Here is a 19,292-nt window from a genome sequence, read left to right as displayed (position 1 = left end):
TGACAGAAACTTACTGTGGTTTGGGCTTAGGCAGCAGGAGCCCAGGGAGGACCTGCAGGCCTGGGGCTGGGGCTGGGGCTGGCATCTTGTCACAGCAAAGCCCTGCGACTCTGGAACAGTGGAAGTGGGTCCAGTTTTGCACATGGCAGGTGGCTCAAGCCCCACACTACCCATTCTCAGGCAGCACAGTTCCCACTGAGCAGCAGGTGGTCATCACTGTCACAGCTGCTGACCCTGTCAGCAGGGTCAGGGCAGCATCAGCTGTGCCACTGCGGCTGGTTCGAGGTTCACTGGCACACCTCCACGGTGTGGTGGCACTGCCCTCCAGAGCAGCCCCCTGAGCCACCTTTACCTATGGAGCCGGCCAGGGAGCTCAGGTGTGGCCCATGGCAGGCCATGGGGCCCAGGTGCCCTACAACTCTTTCTCCTCCCTGTGCTAACCCAGAGCTCATCCATAGACAGTGTCGGGGTCACTGTGACACACCCCTACTTCTTCCTGCCTAGGTTGCACAATTGAACAGTGATTAATTTACCTCCTCTTGGGAAATACTGTAGCTCTTTTTTTGTTGTTGTTTTTGAGACACAGTCTCGCTCTGTCCCCCAGGCTGGAGTACACTGGTATAATCTTGGCCCACTACAATCTTCACCTCCTGGGTTCAAGCGATTCTCCTGCCTCAGCCTCCTGAGTAGTTGGGACTACAGGTGCATGCCACCACACCCGGTTATTTTGGATTTTTAGTAGAGATGCAGTTTCACCATGTTGCACTCCTGACCTCAGATAATCCTCCCGCCTTGGGCTCCCAAAGTGCTGGGATTACAGGTGTGAGCCACTGGTGCCTGGCCCATGCTGTAGCTCTTACAGCAAACAAATGAAAAACAAATTGGCCTAATACTTTTTATTTCTGCTTTCGCTAGATGGAGCTAGAAATTTTTTTTAAAGGAAAGAAAAAAAAAAACCATATGGGTTTACAGAGACTGAACATCCCGCCAGGCATGTGTCACTTTGGGTTAGCCTAGTGCTCTGCCACTCTCAGTCAAGTGCCCACGGCAGCACATCAGACGGGTCAAGCGAGCACATTTGCTTCCCCAGGCACAAGCGAGTGGCACCCTGGTGGGTGTCCGCTTGTCAGCCACTCCTCAGCAGATGGGGTTGGGGGGCAGGCCAGCCCCACCCCTGGCACCCAGTGTTGCGCAGGCCCTGTGGACCTGGGACCTTCTTGGCAGGCTCTGGGCTGCAGCAGCAGCTTCCACGCCACCTCTTTGTTCACCGCAGTCTGTGTGGACCCAGCTTCCAGGATTGTTGCCTGCTGCTCTCATTAAGATGCCCGCGCCCTTAGCCTTGTTCTGCAATGAACAGGAATGAGGCTGTGTCCGCTGTGGCCCTGTGCACACCCTGCCTCGAGTCCTCATGCTCGGCCTTTCAAGAGGGATGGGAGTCATCCATGCATTGGGTCCCCTGACATCCCCAGAGGGAACAAGTGGGGACGGCACCTCCCAAGCCCAGAGCCAAGGGGCCACTCTTTCTCAGAGGAGGTCACGGAAGATCCTAGAACCCAGCCCATCCCCTTCTACAGGGGCTGTCATGCCAGCCCCCAGACCTCCCGTCCTCACTGTGATTTTCTAGCCTCTTGTCCATTGAAATGGAAAACAGATCTTGTTTTGAGAGGGGCCATTCCCACCCCTTCTCAGGGTGCCTGTGCGGTACAGACCGGTCTCCAACCCACTTCAGGTTCTTGTGAACTTCAAGAAACTGTCCTCTAACCTTCTCAGGACTGTGAGGCAGATGGATGCTGCCAGGCCAGCCCTTGCCAGTCCACAAGCGAGCATGCCAGTTGGTGCCGCTCCTGCAGGGCTGCAACTCGGCCCATGCCCCATGGCGCCCCACACCCCCACAGGCCTCACCTGCTCGTGCTTGTGTCATCCAGGCTAGGGCTCAGGGTTGTCCTGGTGCCTGAAACCCCTGCCTGCTGGGCCACCCATGTCAGCCTCTCCGTGCTTGCTCCATAGGGCCTGATGCACTCCAGCGGCCCCGTGGGCCGGCACCGGCAGCTCATCCTGGTTCTGGAGGGGGAGCTCTACCTCATTCCTTTCGCCCTCCTGAAGGGAAGCTCCTCCAATGAGTACCTCTACGAGCGCTTCGGCCTCCTTGCTGTCCCTTCCATCCGCTCCCTCAGCGTGCAGTCCAAGGTAAGGCTCACACACATGGTGGGGGGCCGGGGGCTTGTTTTCGGGTCACGAGGCACCGTCTATCTGGTCGGACTGGGCTGTGTTACGAAGGCATAGCTGTGATCTCCTCAAAAGTGTTGATTTTATGATTTGCACGCAGGTAGCGTGACTTTAGAGTAGGTCTGTCCAAAAGTGGGGCACGGCCCTCATGACCCCTGGCCATTCTTTGCTGCCTTGGGAAGCCACAGTTTGTGTCATGTCTAAGTTTCTTTGCTGTGACATCAGGGTACGGAGCTGCTCTGAGGTACACAGCAAGGCTTGAGGCCTGGCTGAGCACCTGAGGGGGCTGGTCACCCACCATCCACACGATGCCCAGTGGGCAGAGCACAGCCACCCAATTCATCTGGCCCTTGAGCTGACTGCTGGCTGGGCCCCAGGCAGGGAGGGCAGACAAGCAAGAGTGGAGTTGAGTAGAAAACAGCCCGACAGGCCAGTGGAACTGAAAACAAGTCAGGTGGCTTTAAGGGGACAGTCAAGGACTCAGGTCTCATTCAGCAAGAATAATCAATTTGGAAAAAAACGCCCAAAAATCAATAGAGTAACAGTGGGCCACCCTGAGTCATGGGTCTCACCCCACAGCCACCCTTGGCCCTGCCCACCTGATTAGAAACTTTTGAAACAAGCTTTAATCTTCTTCCCCTTCTCCAAACTCTCAGAGACCCCAAAATCCTGGCTTCCCTCTGACCCCTCCACAGTCCCACAGGGCTCCGCACCCGCCTGGCACTCCACTTGCAGCATCCCTGCCTGCGCGGCTGCAGGACTGTCTTTACCACAAGGGCCTGCATTGCTCCATCCTCCAACTCCGGATGTCCTTGAGCTGCCAGCTGCTCTCAGAGCCCTCAGACCCCTCAGACCCCATCTGCCCTAATACCCCACAGCAGGCGGGACAGGTCTTACCCAGATGGGCCTCTTTATGGTGGCGGAAAGCATAGGCGGGGTTAGGACCCGAGGCTGGGCCCTGTGCATGGGTGGCCCCCACAGGACCTGTCTTGGCTGCTTTGATGACTTGCTCATTGGCGTGGCCTAAGTGGGGTCAGTTTCTGCCTGACAGGCTTTTGTAGATCTGAATTTTGACCATTTTTGTGGCTGGATAATACTTTTCTTATGAAGCAAAGAATCAGTTCAAAGTGAAAGAAGTTATTTTCTCTAGGTCTCTCAAGTTTCCATAGCTGATTCTGAATCCCAGATAGGAAGCGAGCTGGCCTTCTCGACGCTCCTGCCACCCAGCGGCCCACCGTGCCGGCTGATAGCAGCACTCTGGGTATCAGATGCCTCCACCTTCAGAAAGCTTTTATTTTGATGACAGCAGCCAGTTAGCTGTTTGTAGCTTAACCAGAAACCTGGAAAAGGCCATCTCCTGACAGGCACCTGGTGTTTCTCTTACCCAGAGTTTAAGGCATCACCAAGCAGAGGCACCAAAAAATTATTTTGAAATAACTTCATACTTAATGTTTCCCAAAAAGTACCAAAAGTCATCATAGGGGAAACTCAGGCAGACATTATTGGGCTTCTTTATGCTGATTTTCTCATTCAGTGATACTTTTTACTTTGCAGCATATAAGGTGGAAGGGAACTAGAATCTTGTCAGTATGTAGAGCTTCTTAAAGGACTTAAGTTTAGCCCTGTCTCCCCAAGATTGGCTTGCTTGTTTGCACCATTTAAACAAAATCACTTTTCAAAGCCCCTGACTTATCAGGAGTGGGTTTCCTCTTATTTAGGAGCCACACATGAAGGTCTGTGGGGATGAGGATTGTGGAGCAGGCTGGCTGTCCTGGGTTCCACGGCCTCTGTCCACTCTGTCATATCAAGGCCTCCTCCCCCAATCCTCTCAGGACCCCTACCATCCAGTCCTGATGGTTTCCAAGGGCTCATCACAGCAGGCATGATTCTCAGTAAGTTAGGCACCTGTGTCAAAAAGATGTTGAAAAATAAGAGTGAATGTGGTGACTGGGGAAACAGGTGGATTCAAGCTCAACCAGCAGAGAGCTGGCCGTCCCTGTGCTCGGCCGACCACTGCCGGGCAGCCTGGCTGTTCTGTCTGACGGGTGGTCTGCTTTGTCCCCTCCCCTCCTAGTCTCACTTACGGAAGAACCCGCCCACATACTCCAGCTCCACATCCATGGCGGCTGTCATCGGCAACCCCAAGCTACCATCGGCCGTGATGGACAGGTGGCTGTGGGGGCCCATGCCATCGGCCGAGGAAGAGGCCTACATGGTGTCCGAGCTGCTGGGCTGCCAGCCCCTAGTGGGCAGTGTGGCCACCAAGGAGAGGGTCATGAGTGCCCTGACCCAGGCTGAATGCGTCCACTTTGCCACCCACATCTCCTGGAAGCTGTCGGCCTTGGTCCTCACGCCCAGCATGGACGGCAACCCTGCCAGCAGCAAGAGCTCCTTCGGCCACCCCTACACGATCCCTGAGTCCTTGCGGGTGCAGGACGATGCCAGTGATGGGGAGAGCATCTCGGACTGCCCGCCCCTGCAGGAGCTGCTGCTTACTGCCGCCGACGTCCTGGACCTGCAGCTGCCTGTGAAGCTGGTGGTGCTTGGCTCCTCCCAGGAGTCCAACAGCAAAGTCACAGCCGACGGGGTCATCGCGCTGACAAGGGCCTTCCTGGCTGCCGGCGCTCAGTGTGTCCTCGTGTCTCTGTGGCCTGTGCCAGTGGCTGCTTCTAAGATGTTCATCCATGCCTTCTACTCATCCCTGCTGAACGGCCTGAAAGCCAGCGCCGCCCTGGGGGAGGCCATGAAGGTGGTGCAGAGCAGCAAGGCCTTCTCGCACCCCTCCAACTGGGCAGGTGGGAGTTCGGCTGGCTGCGGGTGCCTGTCAAGGCCTGGGGCTCAGTCCTCACAGCCCCCCGACTTTATTCTGCCAGTGGGGTTGGGGAGGGGAGGGCAGGGCAAGGCCAGCCACAGAAGACTCAGGGAGAGAGCCTGTGTGCTGAGTCTTGCTTCTGCCAAATGAGTTTTTCCTACTATTAAGATCATCTTTGGACCAGGGAGCAACAGAACCATTTGCCATGAGTGTATGAATGTGAAACTCCTCCTGATGTCAGTGTACACTGGATGACCCATTCCATGGCACCCTCATTTAACCCATGACTGTAGAAAGGAGTGTGTGGTAGAAAGACTTAGGATGGATCTACTCCATGTCCTGGCTGTGTGGCCTGAGATAGGTTACTTACCCTCTCTGAAGCTGTGTTCTCAGGGGTAACAAGGGGATGATGGTGGTGCGATGACACCACCCGGTCCACATTTGACAGGATCTGTAAGGAGTGCACTGAATATCTTGTGAAGCTTCAAGCCCTGCATGTTCTAGAATACATGCTCTTAGTGGACCTGCCCAGAGGGTCTAGGGAGTAAAGAGAGAATGTTTCTGTGACATCTGGTCACAGGGGAGATGGGAAGGCAGGCACCCCTCCTGAATACAGAGCTGCCCCTCAGCTCCAGGCAACAACCTGCTTCCCCTGGGGTCCCACTCAGAGGACTCTGCTTTGCAGGAAACCCTGCCAGGCCAAGACTCACAGAGTACAAACCAAACCCTGGGCCTGTTCCCTCAGTGGCCTCTCGGCCAGCCGGGACTGTTTTACCAACATACCTCATGATGTGTCAGCCTGTGGTCTTCTCTCAGCATTGGCCCCTGAAACTCCCCAGGGTGTTACAAAAATCTAGAGCAAAGCAAAAGTCCCACCCATGGGTAACATCGGCCACAACCGCAAAGCAGAGTGTCTGAAAGTGTCTCAAACTTTGGGAAACAGAGGAACACCAAAAATCCTATTTTCTTAGCATAAATCCAGTTGACACATCCTGATATTGCTGGTGTCATTTTCCAAAGGTGGGTCAGTCCCTCTGCCAGGTCCTGTCAACACAGCTGCAGGGGTGGCTGCCTGGCAGCCCCAGGTGCTGGTGCCAGGCAGATGGGTCATGCTGTTGAAAGATGAAAACATTTTGCTTACTTTACAAACACAACTGTAGTATTTTTCACAGAGCTATTCAAAAAACAAAATAGAATTGTTCCTGTTTCTTCATATGGCTGAAAAGAAGCATTTAGTTGGTCCGACAGGCATATACCCTGCCCTGCCTAGTCACCTCACGGCCGTCCCTTGGTTCTGCCAGGCGAAGCATGCACAAGCAGGCACGGAGGGCTGCTCACCTGCCTCTCCTCCTGCGCTTAGGAGACGCAGAAAGTAGAGGTGACCCCTGTGGTTTCCATTATTGTCCTCATCACACAAGTCCTGTGCAACCTGCTCCTGGCAGTCAGAAGGGGCTTTGGGCCCCACAGCATCCCACAAAACCTACTGCAGGGCTTGTGGGGACCTGGCCCCTTTCCTGTCTCTGCAGGTCTGCCCAGTGTGCTTACGGGCATGGCATTTTGAAAAGGATCTTTGTTTGTTTAGTTTTGTTGATAGATAAGTCACAACTTTGTTCTGGATGAAACCATTTTTAGTGATGCTCTCTTGTTACCTTTAAAAACAGCTCATTATCTTAGAAAACCCTTTCCCTACATGATCTGGGGGCAGGTTGGTCCTAAAGTTGCCTGTGGGCTTGAGAACCTGCTCCCCCAGGCCCTGTTTCGGAAGGGAGTGTGGAAAGGAACGGTGGGATGCGGTGCTCCTCAGCCCAGTTGGTCTTTCCCAGCCGAACTTGGTTTGCTGGTTTAGAACTGGAGGAGTAGCCGCTCCCCACCTCCCCATGGCCCCCATGGCAAGGAGGAGATGAGCACACCTCCCCTCCCCTGACGTGTTCCCCCCTAAAGGCCTAAGGATAGACAAAGATGAATTTCAGAGAAAACAAGGCAGGTTTTCCTACTGCACTTCCCTCGGCTCCTTTCTGCAAAATAGCAGGCCCCACTAACCTGAACAGCTGAACAATATTGATTCTTAAAAGGAAGGGGACAAAAGGGTGCCACATCACCATCCAGTGAGTCAGATGCCCCAGGCCAGCCTGTGAGCTGCTCCCCTGCCAGGCCCTGCTCTTTCTGCTGGGTTAACCTCGAGGCGTAAGTGAGCCCTGGAAGCCGGGGTGGGGCTGGGGGTCTCCAGCTGCCCTGCTGAGGTGCCCTCCTTTGCTTTCTGCAGGGTTCATGCTCATCGGGAGTGACGTTAAGCTGAACAGCCCCTCATCACTCATCGGCCAGGCCCTCACAGAGATCCTGCAGCACCCGGAGCGTGCGCGGGACGCCCTGCGAGTGCTGCTGCACCTGGTAAGGGGGTCGGGCACCCTGCACTCAACGAGAGCTGGCAGTGCTGTGAGAGAAGGGGAAGGCAAGGGTTTCCCTACACGGGGATGTGAGCAGTTGGAGAGGACACCGTGATTGGGGCCGTGTCCAGGATGGCACTGACCGGCTTCCACAGACGTCCCTGGGATAAGCCTGCTGGGAGACCCATGTCCCAGCAAAGCGTGATGCACAAAGTGGGCAGTATCCCCAGGGTGCTTCTGCAGACGTCCCCGGGATGAGCCCGCTGGCCTGAGGGGTGGGCATGGTGTGTGGTGCCATACAGGTGGCTGTAGCAGTACTCGCCAGGACCCTGGGGGAAGGGCAGCCGACGACAGTGACCCACAACCTAGCAGCTTCCAGGCCATGTGGCTTTGGGCAAGTCACTTTGGCTCTCCGAGCCTCAGTGTTCTCATCTGGAAGGGGTGATAAAAGTTGAACAGTTCAAGGTTATCGTGAGGATTTGAGAAAATGTGAGTACTTGGCGCAGAGTCCTATTTTACCACCAGATGATACCAGTCTGCCCCTGAGTCCAAGTCTGATCATGCCCTTGATCAGCCTGCCCCAACATCTGTGGAGCCCAGGTGAGAGCACAAATGGAGGGCCCACAGCTACATGTGTAAAGTTATCAACTGAGTCAAGAAGCAGTGACATCAAACTTGTTTCATCCTTCTACCTCGGGAACAACCTGGAAGGCCGTTTCAAATCATTTAGAGTGCTGTGCCAGAAAGACCAGCCCTGGCCCACCCCACATCTTCCTAGCCCAGTGCCAGCCTGGGGCCCATGCAGCGTGGGTGAACAGTTATGCCACAGCCAAGCTCCTTCCAAATCTGCCACGGACCCCAGGGCCTCCTTGCAGGCTGGTTGCTGCACAGCCTAGCTCCATCCATGGTTAAGATGGAGGACCGGGGGCAGCGTCGATGCAGCCTGGGAGTGAGCATGTCTCCTGGGCCATGCAAACTTCTTGCCCGTGGGTTGGGCCTGAACAGGGCCCTCTAGAACCCTGGCACCTGGGCCTGGGCATGGTAGCTCTACATGCACTTCTGAGGATAGAGTCACACATATTTCTGAAGCTTAGGGTCTCCTCAGGCCTGAAAGTAGTCAGTATGTGAACACTGTGACCAGCAAGCCCCCAGCGTGCCCCCAGTTGGCTCGAGGAGGCCAACACCCAGGGTGCTGGGAGGCCCTCTCCACTGTTACCCTGTATCTGGAAACTGTCTGGAGCCTTTCAGTTCTCGGGTCCCGTCACCCCCGAAGTCCCTCCGTCCTTGCTGCCACTACACACTGCTTTTTTGGGGAAATGGAACTGCCTTCTCTACCCATTAGTCACCTCCTCCCAGGCCAGGCCTCTCAGCTGCCCCTACATGGCCTTGAGGCCCCTCAGGCCCACTTAAGGGTTTCCTCTTTTTCCTTGGTATTATCTTCTGGGGTGGGTGTGGGGGCCATGGGTCAAGTTCCCCAGCCCCTACCTTCTAACTCCTCCTGGATACTCCTTGACCCAGTGGGCAGTGTGCCTTGGAGGCCCCCCGCTCCTGAGGGACAGCCAGGGCTGATCGTCTGTCCTCCCAGGCAGGCTTGTTTCCTCCTGGCTGGTGTGAGTACACACTTCCTCCTGTCTGGGATGCCTGAGCTCCGGCATCCCAGTGTTTACTGTAAAAAAAAAAAAAAAAAACCTCAGGTGACATCTTGGACCACTCATGCCCCTCCGGTGAGGGCACATGTGCCTCATAGGGCACCCAACATCCCAGAGTGGACAGGGGTTTCCACTAGAGAGAGGCCCAGGGAGGCCTGATGAAAGCTGTTTGCACTACTGTTTTTGGGTGTGTTTTTAGGGGGTGGGGTGTAGAGCTGGGGTCTCGCTATGTTGCTCTGGCTTGTCTTGAACTCCTGGACTCAAGTGATCTGCCCGTCTTGGCCTCCCAAAGTGTTAGGATTACAGGCGTGAGCCACCACGCCTCTCAGCTGCCGCCACTTAGCCTTGAGGCCCTGTACTACTGTTAAAACACTCACTCATGTAGTTCATGCAGCAGTGACTTGGGTGACTTCAGCGTAGAAGTGCCAGGCACCTGTTCAGGCCCTGGATGACATGAGGGCACTTCCCGGTGGAGGGAGGTATAGGCTCCAGAAGCCAGTGCGGAGGGACCAAGGCTGAGTGGGAAGAATGGGGAAGAAGGGCATTGCCAGCCAAGACCCCATGATGGGGCTGGGCTGTGGGCAGTGAGGGGGTTCCTGAAGGGCCTGAGGGTTTATCCTAGTGGGCAGGAGCCATTACATGGTTGAGGCAGGCCCCTGACCTGTGTGTTCAGACACATTGCTTTACTGTCTGCGGAGAGTGTGGAAGGGGTTGGTTTAGGGGAGGGACAGAATCCTTCTGTTGTACCAGCCCTCGAGGGCTCTGATGGTAAAATCCTTCCCTTCTGTGCCCTCCCTTGCAAGATGCCTAGTCAGTGCCCCAGTGTCACATCCTCAGGCCTGGCCACGTGGGCTATGTGGGGTTGCAGCAGTCAGCCTGGCTTCACCCTGGGGCTTTGTGTACCCTCAAAGCCATGCGGATGGAAACCAGGGCTGGCCTGGGTCTCTGACTCACCCCCAATTCCCCCTCAGGTGGAGAAATCCCTGCAGCGCATCCAGAATGGGCAGCGCAATGCCATGTACACATCCCAGCAGAGTGTGGAGAACAAAGTGGGCGGCATCCCTGGCTGGCAGGCCCTCCTCACCGCTGTGGGCTTCCGGCTGGACCCCCCAACCAGTGGCCTGCCAGCGGCTGTCTTCTTCCCAACCTCCGACCCGGGCGACCGGCTCCAGCAGTGCAGCAGCACACTCCAGTCCCTGCTGGGTGAGCTGTGGGTGTAGGGCTGGGGCAACAGGCCTGGCTGACAGCAGGTGGAACAGTTGGTGGCCTTGGGCCCCGCATTCATGAGGATGCTGGATCTCCCAGCTAGGAGCAGGAGGGTGTCCTGAGAAATGGCAGGGGGTCCCAGATACAAGCATCTCCACACCTGGAGGAAACAAGTGCCATTTACCTGCTGTTTCCATCTGTGATGGCAGGCATCTGCGCCCCACTGGCGCTGCCCCTTCCCGGGATGATGGGAGGTCGTGCCGGCAGACACTGGCCACTACTGCCATTGTCATCAGCAGCTGTGGCCCCGATGAAGCTGTGCGGCCAACCCCAGGGTGAAGCTGGGTGCTTGACTAGGGGTGGTGCTGCCTGGGTCCTGGGAGTGTGGCCACGCCTAGAGGACTGCGGCAGGGTCAGGACTCAACCCACTTCCACCCACCTTCCTGGGAGACCACGCTGTCCTTTTCCAAGGCACACACAGACACACATGTCTAGCTGTGCTGAGCTTCTGAAAAATGCCACCGATGCCAAGGATTTAGGGTTCTTTCCCCTGGGAAGGTGGCAGGCTTTTGGGTGCAGAGGCCCTTCTGAATAACTTCTACCCTTTTTTCTTGGTTTAGGTCTGCCCAATCCTGCCCTCCAAGCCCTTTGCAAACTCATCACTGCCTCCGAGACGGGCGAGCAGCTCATCAGCCGGGTAAGTCGAGCCTGGAGGGCTGAGCCAGGGCCTGAGGCCCATGCTGATTTGGAAAGGCAGAGCAACTTGGCCCTAAATAGGAACCTGTAAGTGAATGCAGTCTCACCGCCTTTGTGATTCAAAGGAGAAGGTGAGGGCCGGGAGTAAGAGAATAGCCCTGCCTGGCAAGTGCTGTTTACCTGCTGTTTCCATCTGCGATGCCAAGGCATCCGTGCCAGCGGCACTGCCCCTTACCGGCATGATGGGAGGTCGTACCAGCAGACACTGGCTGCTATTGGCATTGTCATGGGCAGCTGTGGCCCTGATGAAGCTGTGCGGCCAACCCCAGGGTGAAGCTGGGTGCTTGACTCAGAGGGGCACAGAGGGGCAGGTTTGCATAGTGTTCTCATATGTGCTGAGCATCCAGGGCCTTCAGAGGATGCTTATGGGGCCCCTGTCACCTGTGGTCTCAGGGCATTTCCTGAAATCTCCACTCGGTGGTCTCCTGAACCTTGTCCTCCTCACCACCCACTTTTTCAGCTGATTGACGAGTGTTACAGCCACCCTCCCCAAGCCACCAGGTGTGGGGCCAGCCCACCAGGATGGCTGCAGGTGTTCCCACGCTTCTTTGATCAAAGTACTTAACCATGCCTGAAACAAGATAGTCACCAAGGCAAAGCAGTGAACCCAGGAGCAACTCTCATGCAAGACACTGCTTAGCAGATGTGCTTTCTTTTAGGAAAATACAGATCTAGTTCAGGAGTTCGGCGGGTTCCAGTTCTTAGCATCATGTAGGTCCTTTGCAGCTTGGCCTGGGAGCTTCTCAGTACCCATGCTGCACCACTGCGTTCTGGCCAGTGAGGGTCTGGACCAAGCCCCTGGGGGGACAGCTGTGGGAGCACTTCTGGAGGCTGGAGCAGCCCTTGAAGAGCACAGAGTTGCTTTTCTGGCCATTTTGGAGTGTAACAATTTGAAAAAGTAATATATGTTGTTATTAGAGATATTTGCCAGCAAATTTCACTGAAGTGGAAATATTTCTATGGAGAAATAAAGCTGCTCCATCTACTATTAGCCTCTGAAACACACTGAGTGCTACCTAGGGCTGTTTCCACCTGGATTTGGAACTTAGAACCAACAGTGACCTGTCCCCTTGGCTGAGTCCCTGCTCATTTTGTAATAAGTGTATTAACGCCTGCTCGTTGAATAGCATCAGGAAGACACTTCCAGAACACTGCATATTAAAGCATCCTGAACCCAGGCGGTCTAGAGGTCTGTGTTCTACAAAATCTGAAAGCCAAAATTATACTCCATTTGCAAGGCTGTGCTGAGAGGCCAAAAAGCCAGTTGCTTAATTTCTTGCTTTTGATGGGAGCACAGGGACTTTCTGCCTGATACGCTGTTGGGCCCTAGGGACATGTCCCGAGGCTGCCCCCAGTGGTGGCAGCTGGTGGACCTTTCCTGGCTCACTCAGGAACCAGGGACTTTGGTTTCCTGAGCTGGCTACAAACGCCCGCTGTGCTCTTTCCCTCCCGAGCCTCTACTGGCTGGGAAGGGAGGCCTGGCTGATGCTGCCCCTGAGCCCCTGGATCCGCACGCGGCTGGCCTGGGTGTGGCTGTCCGTTCTCCTGTGTGTCCCCTGCTGACTCTTGCTCCTCTCCCCTCCCAGTCAGAGCCGCGGGCCTGGTGTGGCGCTTCCTAAACAGTGATCAGCTCATGTTGCATAACAGCCTGTGCTTGAGTCTAAACTCTCTTCTTTCTCTCTTTCTTTCTTTTTCTTATAATCTGCTGGCCGAAGGCTGTTAAAAATATGGTTGGAATGGTGAGTACTACTTTAAGTAGCAACTGTTGTCAGGTGAGCCCCTCAACCCACCCACCCCCGAGTTCCCCTGGGCAGGCTCTGAGCTCGGGGTGCACGTGCTGTCAAACGGAGCCACACGGGCTGCGGCGCCCCCGCGGGTGCGCACTGCTGCTGGACTGGCGGCCCGTCCCCTTCTCTGCTCTGCCTCCCCTCTTCCTGCTCCGCCCTTCTTGCGTCCTTGATTTGACCTCCTGAGGTCCACCAGACAGCAGGGGCAGAACCAGCTTTCAGTGAGTGTCACTCTGTGAACCCACACACAGACCCCTGAGGAGAGGCCACAGACCCTGAAATCTGAAAGGAAATGGACACTTGAGTGGGTAATTCCTCGAGCTGTGAGGCTCTAAGATGTAACCGGGTTCCACTTCGCCATCCACCTCAAGGTCCTAAAGATGACTTAAGAAAGTGGGAGGTGGCCGGTCCCCTAACTCACCCCTTCTACTCTCCATGGCCTCTCCTGTGAGGCTCTCCCACGCCTGAGGGAAGACACAAGGCTGGAAGCAGAACCCGGCCCCGGCCCCAGGAGGCCACACAGCCTCTTGCCCCAATGCCCCATGAGCTTCCCACAGAGAGGACAGCAGGACAGTAGGTATGAATGCACCTGAAAAAGAATCTCAAATGCTACACTCATGAGAGGGTCATTAGCGATGCCAGTGACAGGTGACATAAGAATAATGGGTCGAGTCTTGAGGTGGGCTGGAGGGGAAGGAGACACAGGGTGCTCACGCTGTCCCCCCTTCCTCAGCTCCACCAGGTGCTGGTTCAGCTCCAGGCTGGCGAGAAGGAGCAGGACTTGGCATCAGCTCCCATTCAGGTCTCCATCAGCGTCCAGCTGTGGCGGCTCCCGGGATGCCACGAGTTCCTGGCAGCTCTAGGTAGGCAGAGAATCCTTGACTTAAATGGGTTCTTGAATTCCATCTTTTAAATCTCTGTTTTTCCTCCTGGTTTCTGTTGGGCAAAGTATCTCAGTGTCTTCTTAAAATATTATCTTAAAACAGTTAACTCAGGCTGGGTACAGTGGCTCACGCATGTAATCCTAGCACTTTGGGAGGCTGAGGGGGAGGAACACTTGAAGCCAGGTGTTTGAGTCCAGCCTGGGCAACACAGGGAGACCCCATCTCTACAAAAATTAAAAAAAATTAGCCGGGCATGGTGGTGCATGCCTGTAGTCTCAGTTACTCAGGAGGACTGAGGCAGAGGATCTCTCTTTTTCTTCCAAAAAAAAATTAACTTAGATTCCAGTGGTTTAGCAGGATTCCCAAATGGTACAAATGGCTTTGTGCCATTTCCTCTGCACTGTGATTTCATCTCTGTCATTTGTGCCCATTACCTTAACATGAACCTGCTAGACTCTAGTATTATTGGAGGTCAAGTGTTATTAGGAGCTAAAGAAAACTAAAATTAGAGTCATAAGATGATAATGGTTTCAGTGTTGTCCTCTGTCAACGGGTACTCAAAACTGGCAGGAAAACAGTACTATTGAAACCACCTCTGAGAGACCATGGGTACCTAGGACTGCACATAGCAGGGGCCTCAGTCAGTGCAGGACACTCGATTTCCCTTTTTTACCATTTGTAACGTGCAGGTGTGACTCCTGACATATTGCTGTGTACCTGTAATGGTGCATCTGTTGATAGAACACAAGAGGCTGTGAGCCACTCCCCTCCTGCCCCACTTAGGGGCCCAGTGACTGGCTCGGGAACCATTCACTCCACAGGTTTCTTTTGAACACCTGTTATGTGTCAGGCAATGTTCCAGGCACTGGAGATGCAGCAGTGAGCAAAAGACTAAATTCCTACCATCCTAGAGCTTGCACTCTACTGGGAGAACACGAACAAACCTAATACAGTGTCTAAGGGACGCCTTAGGAAGCCAGGGAGCACCATGGCAGGCAGAAGCAGATGGGTGGGAGCAGGGCCAGGACAGGCCCACAGAGACTGGGATGTTTGCAGGAGAAAGTGCCAGGCCGAGGGAACAGCCACGGAGGGGTCGGGGCGGGGTAGGGGGCAGGGCAGATCTGTGGGCTGTGATGCCAGGGAAGGCCTTTGGATTTTAAACTGAGAGAAGTGGACACCCTTGAGAAGATGGCACTGTCTGACCTCACTGTTACATGGATGAGCTGTCAGACATGGCCCGACAGAGAATCCTTAAAAATGCTTCTTTCCTGCCGGGTGCGGTGGCTCACTCCTGTAATCCCAGCACTTTGGGAGGCTGAGGTGGGTGGATCACCTGAGGTTGGGAGTTTGAGACCAGCCTGACCAACGTGGAGAAACCCCGTCTCTACTAAAAATACAAAAATTAGCCAGGCATGGAGGCGCATGCCTGTAGTCCCAGCTACTCAGGAGGCTGAGGCAGGAGAATCATTTGAACCCAGGAGGCGGAGGTTGCTGTGAGCCGAGATCGCGCCACTGTACTCCAGCCTGGGCGACAAGAGCAAAAAGCTCTGTCTCAAAAAAAAAAAAAAAAAAAAAGCAAGCTTCTTCTCGCTCGGGGTCCCACTGTCTAACCTGTTTTGTGGGTGACCTTCCCCGACCACCTCAGCTCAAGGCTGGCTCCTTGTGTTTTCAGACACGTCGTGTATTGTGAAGGTAAAGTGGGGAGCTACAGTGCCTCACAGGGGTTCTGAATCCCCTTGGATTAGAAGCTTGGCATCCTTTACAGGTTGCATTACTTGGTTTTTTATTTTTTTTTAACTTTTTTTGTAGAGATTGGGTTTCACCATTTTGCCCAAGATGGTCTTTTTAAACTCCTGGGTTCAAGCAACCCTCCCACACAGCCTCCCAAAGTGCTGGGATTCAGGTGTGAGCCACTGCTCCTGGCCTACATGCTTTTCTTCTGTGGGTTTAAAGCATCATTTTCCTGGTGTAAACATAGTAAATTTCTATGTAGGCAGCAGCAGATGGACGCTAGACTGAGAAGGGCTGGGTTCCCATCCGGGATGCTTCTCTTGTCACTTCTGTGAGAAGCCATAGGGCAAGCCTTGGGGGGCACTGCCACGAGTGAGTCAGCAAGAGGAAGCCACAACCACAACCTTTTTTTTTTTGGAGACAGGGTCTTACTCTATTACCCAGGCTGGGGTGCTGGAATGCAGTGGCGCGAGCTCAGCTCACTGCAATCTCCACCTCCCAAGTAGCTGGGACTTGAGGCATGCACCACCCACGCCCAGCTAATTTTTGTATTTTTTGTAGACACAGGGGTTCGCCATGTTACCCAGGCTGTTCTCCAGCTCCTGAGCTCAAGTGATCTGCCTGCCTCAGCCTCCCAAAGTGTTGGGATTATAGGCGTGAGCCACCGCACCTGGCCAAGACCTTGCTTTATAAAGGAAAAGCTCTCTTCCTCATGGAGCCTGAGGCTCCCTTTGGTGTGGGGGTGGTGGAGCCAGGCTTCCTCCCCTGCACACTCCCTGCTTTTGAGGTCCCTTTGCCAGATACATCAAGAATAGTACAGAAGGAAACCCAAAAACTCTTAACACAGGCTGTCTCTGGTGTTGGGATTATGGGGGACTTTAGTTGATGTTCCAGTTATTCTCTGTATTTTCCAAGAGCCACTGATACTCAAGGGGCGAGTCGGTCTGCATGCATTTGCAAGCTTTATGGCCTTTTGACATACAGCTCGGGGAGGAGAGTGGTGTCCGGTAGGCCTGTCATCTGGAGAGAGGTGGCTGGCTCGCTCCCAGGGCTCCAAGGCTCCAAGAAATGCCCCCTTTCCAGTCCTCAGCAATAAGCACACACCTTCACAACCCAGCATGGGCTGTCAGAGATGGAGAGGACTCAGTTCTGAGCAACCCCATTTAAATCATTTTGGTAAAAGTAGAGGTTTCTAATGGAAGCATTACATTGATACTATTCATTATTGGTTTTTAATGCTGAGTTCTCTGATTATGTCTTCCTGTTGCTTTCAGGGGCTGTTTACTTTCAAATTCAGAGGAAAATGTCCCATAGTGACCAGAATGCTCCTCTAGTGAACCTAATTCCTAAGGGAATGATAGTCTCCAGATCCCCGAATACAAGTCAAAAGGCTGGCTGCCTAGATAGAGAGACGGAGGGGTTTCTCCTTTGGTGAATGTGCTGTTGCTGAGTCACGACACATAGCATGCTGACAGTAACATCGTGTACTATGGGCCCCCTTACTTTAACACTGTGAGGTCAGAGGAGAGGGTGTGGCATCGTAGGTACCCAGCACTTTGCAGTGTTGTCAGGGGAGTTCAGTGATCTACCCAGTGCTCTCAATGCAGGGACCAGGGATTCTGAGTGAAGATTTTCAATGCTGAAGACTCTTCAGGCCCTAAATTCTTGCTTTGTGGTCCCTGTCTGTATTAGTCTGTTCTTACATTGGTATAAAGATACCATTCGAGACTGGGTAATTTATAAAGAAAGGAAGTTTAATTGACTCACAGTTCTGCATTGCTAGGGAGGCCTCAGGAAACTTACAATCATGGCGGAAGGCGAAGGAGAAGCAGGCACCTTCTTCACAAGGTGGCAGGAGAGACAGCACAGGAGAAATGCCAGACACTTATCAAACAACCAGATCTCGTGAGAACTCCCTCACTATCATGCGAACCAATCCAATCACCTCCCACCAGGTCCCTCCCTCGACATCCAGGGATTACAACTTGAGATGAGATTTGAGTGGGGACACAGAGCCAAACCATATCATCTGTGGCCATAGCATCTGCACTTGGCTTCTCCCCAGGGAGACATACTTGCAGGTGTCCCTGTAATGTCTCTTAATGTGTCTAAGTACCACGTCCACAGTTTGTTAGCCAGCCTCTTGCTCAGGAAGCTCCATGCCCTGTGTTACACCTGCTCTGAGTCTCATTAGAATCCTTAGAATTAGGGAGCAGCACCCCTGGGCTTTGGCAGAGGCAGAGAAGTCACTGCAGATCCCCCATTGTCAGCGATCATTTCAAAGCCCACGGGGGCAGACACTGAACATGCATGAAGGCATTGTCTTTGCCCTTGAGAAACTTCACCTCACCATGCACCAGCTTTAAATACTGCTGTCAATGCTGAATGGAGTGGCCAGTTTTTGTCCTGGACAGTCTTTATATAGACTGTACTTCTGTGAAAAAAAAATGGAAAAGAAAACATGTGAGTGAGCCTTACTGAGTTCTGGTCCATAGTGCTTTCCGTGAAGGGACAGAGGAGAGCCAGGCAGTGAGAGCCACACACACGCCAAATGGGGGCTGCGTAGAGTGGATGTTCTGGGTGGGGCAGCCCGACCCCTCTGCCACATGACCAACCTCTGTGCAGACATGGGGAAGCCCCAGGCCCAAATGCTTGCTGAAGGGCCTTGCAGGCATTCCATGAAGTTGCACAAGGAGCCCTATAGCGCTCATGTTCAAGATCTGGAATCTTCCCGAAGGAAGCAGATGCTTATATTCTTTGTTCCTCTAGGTTTTGATCTCTGTGAAGTTGGTCAGGAGGAAGTAATCCTGAAAACCGGGAAGCAAGCTAATCGACGGACTGTGCACTTCGCGCTCCAGTCCCTGCTGTCTCTGTTTGGTAAGAGCCTGCCCTCAGACCAGTTCTCCACCAGGGCCTGCCATGCTCTCCCTGGGGGCCGACACCAGCACATACATTTTGGGAAGCAGAAGAAAAGTGAATCAACATTTTTTGTGTATGTTTGTTAGGGAACAGTTAGGGACTATTCAGGAGCAGGAAACAAAAACTCCCTGCTCTCATGGAACTTGCAATGTATGAGGTGCTGGCACGTGCTCAAGCAGGGCAAGGGACTGGAAGTGAGAGGGTGGTGGCAGAGCAGACGGGAACGCGGCGACAGGTGTGCCTGTCCTCTGTGGGGCCACAGGGCCTGACCGGAGCGGACACTCAGGTCATGTGGGCCTGGGAGATTTCCAGGCCCTGGGGACACACCCAGCCCGACTGATGTTCTTAAGGGCCAAGCTGGCTACAGTGGGAAGAGCAAATGCTGGCTTGGAAGGTGGTTATGGTTTGCAGGTGGAACCAACGGAGTCTGCTGAAGGTCATGACAGATGGGTCAAAGTGGTATCCTGTTTTTTATTTGGAAGAACTGCCAAAATGGGATTGCCCTCTGCTGAGGTCAGGAAAGTGGCAGGAGGAATGGGCTTGAGTTCCATCTGGGACACATTCGGTTTGGGGATATCCATTAGGCATCCATGCAGGCAGCTGGTACGTGAGTTTGGAGTTCAGGGGAGAGGTTGGCATGGAGACAGAAACATGCATGGCATCACCCGGGGTGCATGCGGGTCGGAGGGGAAGAGGATTGTGTCCTGTGGGCATTCCAGGGTTCAGAGTGACAAGGATGAGGAGGGGCCTGTGGAGGAGGGGGTGGTGAGGGCAGGGTGTGTCTCTCTCACTGCAGAACTGAGCAATGGACTCTGGATTTGGCAGTGTGGACCTCATTGGTGACCTTTATAAGAATGATAGGGACTAAAACCTGAATGGACTAAGTTGAGAGAATGGGGGAGAGGCAGTGTGGAGAGCGAGTGTCGGTGATGCCAGAG

At 54.0% G+C, this 19,292-nt stretch overlaps 1 protein-coding gene and 1 long non-coding RNA gene across 9 annotated transcripts in view, besides 3 other annotated features; one reads left to right on the top strand and one right to left on the bottom strand.

Annotated features, from left to right (window-relative positions):
- TTC28 (tetratricopeptide repeat domain 28) overlaps positions 1 to 19,292 on the top strand; it is a 701,827-nt gene that overhangs the window by 676,280 nt on the left and 6,255 nt on the right. For 5 of the 8 annotated variants that reach the window (NM_001145418.2, XM_011530018.4, XM_017028673.3 and 2 more), the window contains 8 exons: positions 2,008 to 2,187; positions 4,301 to 5,021; positions 7,302 to 7,426; positions 10,043 to 10,274; positions 10,898 to 10,974; positions 12,749 to 12,772; positions 13,554 to 13,683; positions 18,205 to 18,312. In NM_001145418.2, coding sequence (NP_001138890.1) covers positions 2,008 to 2,187; positions 4,301 to 5,021; positions 7,302 to 7,426; positions 10,043 to 10,274; positions 10,898 to 10,974; positions 12,749 to 12,772; positions 13,554 to 13,683; positions 18,205 to 18,312 — 1,597 coding nt within the window. The remainder of the gene's footprint in view (positions 1 to 2,007; positions 2,188 to 4,300; positions 5,022 to 7,301; positions 7,427 to 10,042; positions 10,275 to 10,897; positions 10,975 to 12,748; positions 12,773 to 13,553; positions 13,684 to 18,204; positions 18,313 to 19,292) is intronic. The other 3 variants (NM_001393403.1, XM_047441214.1, NM_001393405.1) reach the window with 1 other exon arrangement.
- The window catches only part of TTC28-AS1 (TTC28 antisense RNA 1), an 83,304-nt gene continuing 64,893 nt past the window's right edge, over positions 882 to 19,292 (bottom strand). The window contains exons 3-5 of the long non-coding RNA NR_026963.1: positions 8,908 to 9,088; positions 4,723 to 6,150; positions 882 to 4,131 (exon numbers count right to left, since the gene is read on the bottom strand). This is a non-coding gene — a long non-coding RNA (TTC28 antisense RNA 1). The remainder of the gene's footprint in view (positions 4,132 to 4,722; positions 6,151 to 8,907; positions 9,089 to 19,292) is intronic.
- Positions 7,805 to 8,304: an enhancer, noted in NCBI's record as "H3K4me1 hESC enhancer chr22:28391245-28391744 (GRCh37/hg19 assembly coordinates)". NCBI's record gives its function as "activates a minimal SCP1, AML or CMV promoter by ChIP-STARR-seq in naive H9 embryonic stem cells {active_cell/tissue: H9 hESC(naive)}" and the evidence as "EXISTENCE:reporter gene assay evidence [ECO:0000049][PMID:30033119]".
- Positions 9,687 to 10,206: an enhancer, noted in NCBI's record as "H3K27ac-H3K4me1 hESC enhancer chr22:28389343-28389862 (GRCh37/hg19 assembly coordinates)". NCBI's record gives its function as "activates a minimal SCP1, AML or CMV promoter by ChIP-STARR-seq in naive H9 embryonic stem cells {active_cell/tissue: H9 hESC(naive)}" and the evidence as "EXISTENCE:reporter gene assay evidence [ECO:0000049][PMID:30033119]".
- Positions 10,207 to 10,728: an enhancer, noted in NCBI's record as "H3K27ac-H3K4me1 hESC enhancer chr22:28388821-28389342 (GRCh37/hg19 assembly coordinates)". NCBI's record gives its function as "activates a minimal SCP1, AML or CMV promoter by ChIP-STARR-seq in naive H9 embryonic stem cells {active_cell/tissue: H9 hESC(naive)}" and the evidence as "EXISTENCE:reporter gene assay evidence [ECO:0000049][PMID:30033119]".

The sequence above is a fragment of the Homo sapiens genome, chromosome 22 (genome assembly GCF_000001405.40).
Source record: "Homo sapiens chromosome 22, GRCh38.p14 Primary Assembly".
Classification (NCBI taxonomy): Eukaryota; Metazoa; Chordata; class Mammalia; order Primates; family Hominidae; genus Homo; species Homo sapiens.
Note: the sequence above shows the minus strand (reverse complement) of the source record. Positions and strands in the feature narration are given on the sequence as shown.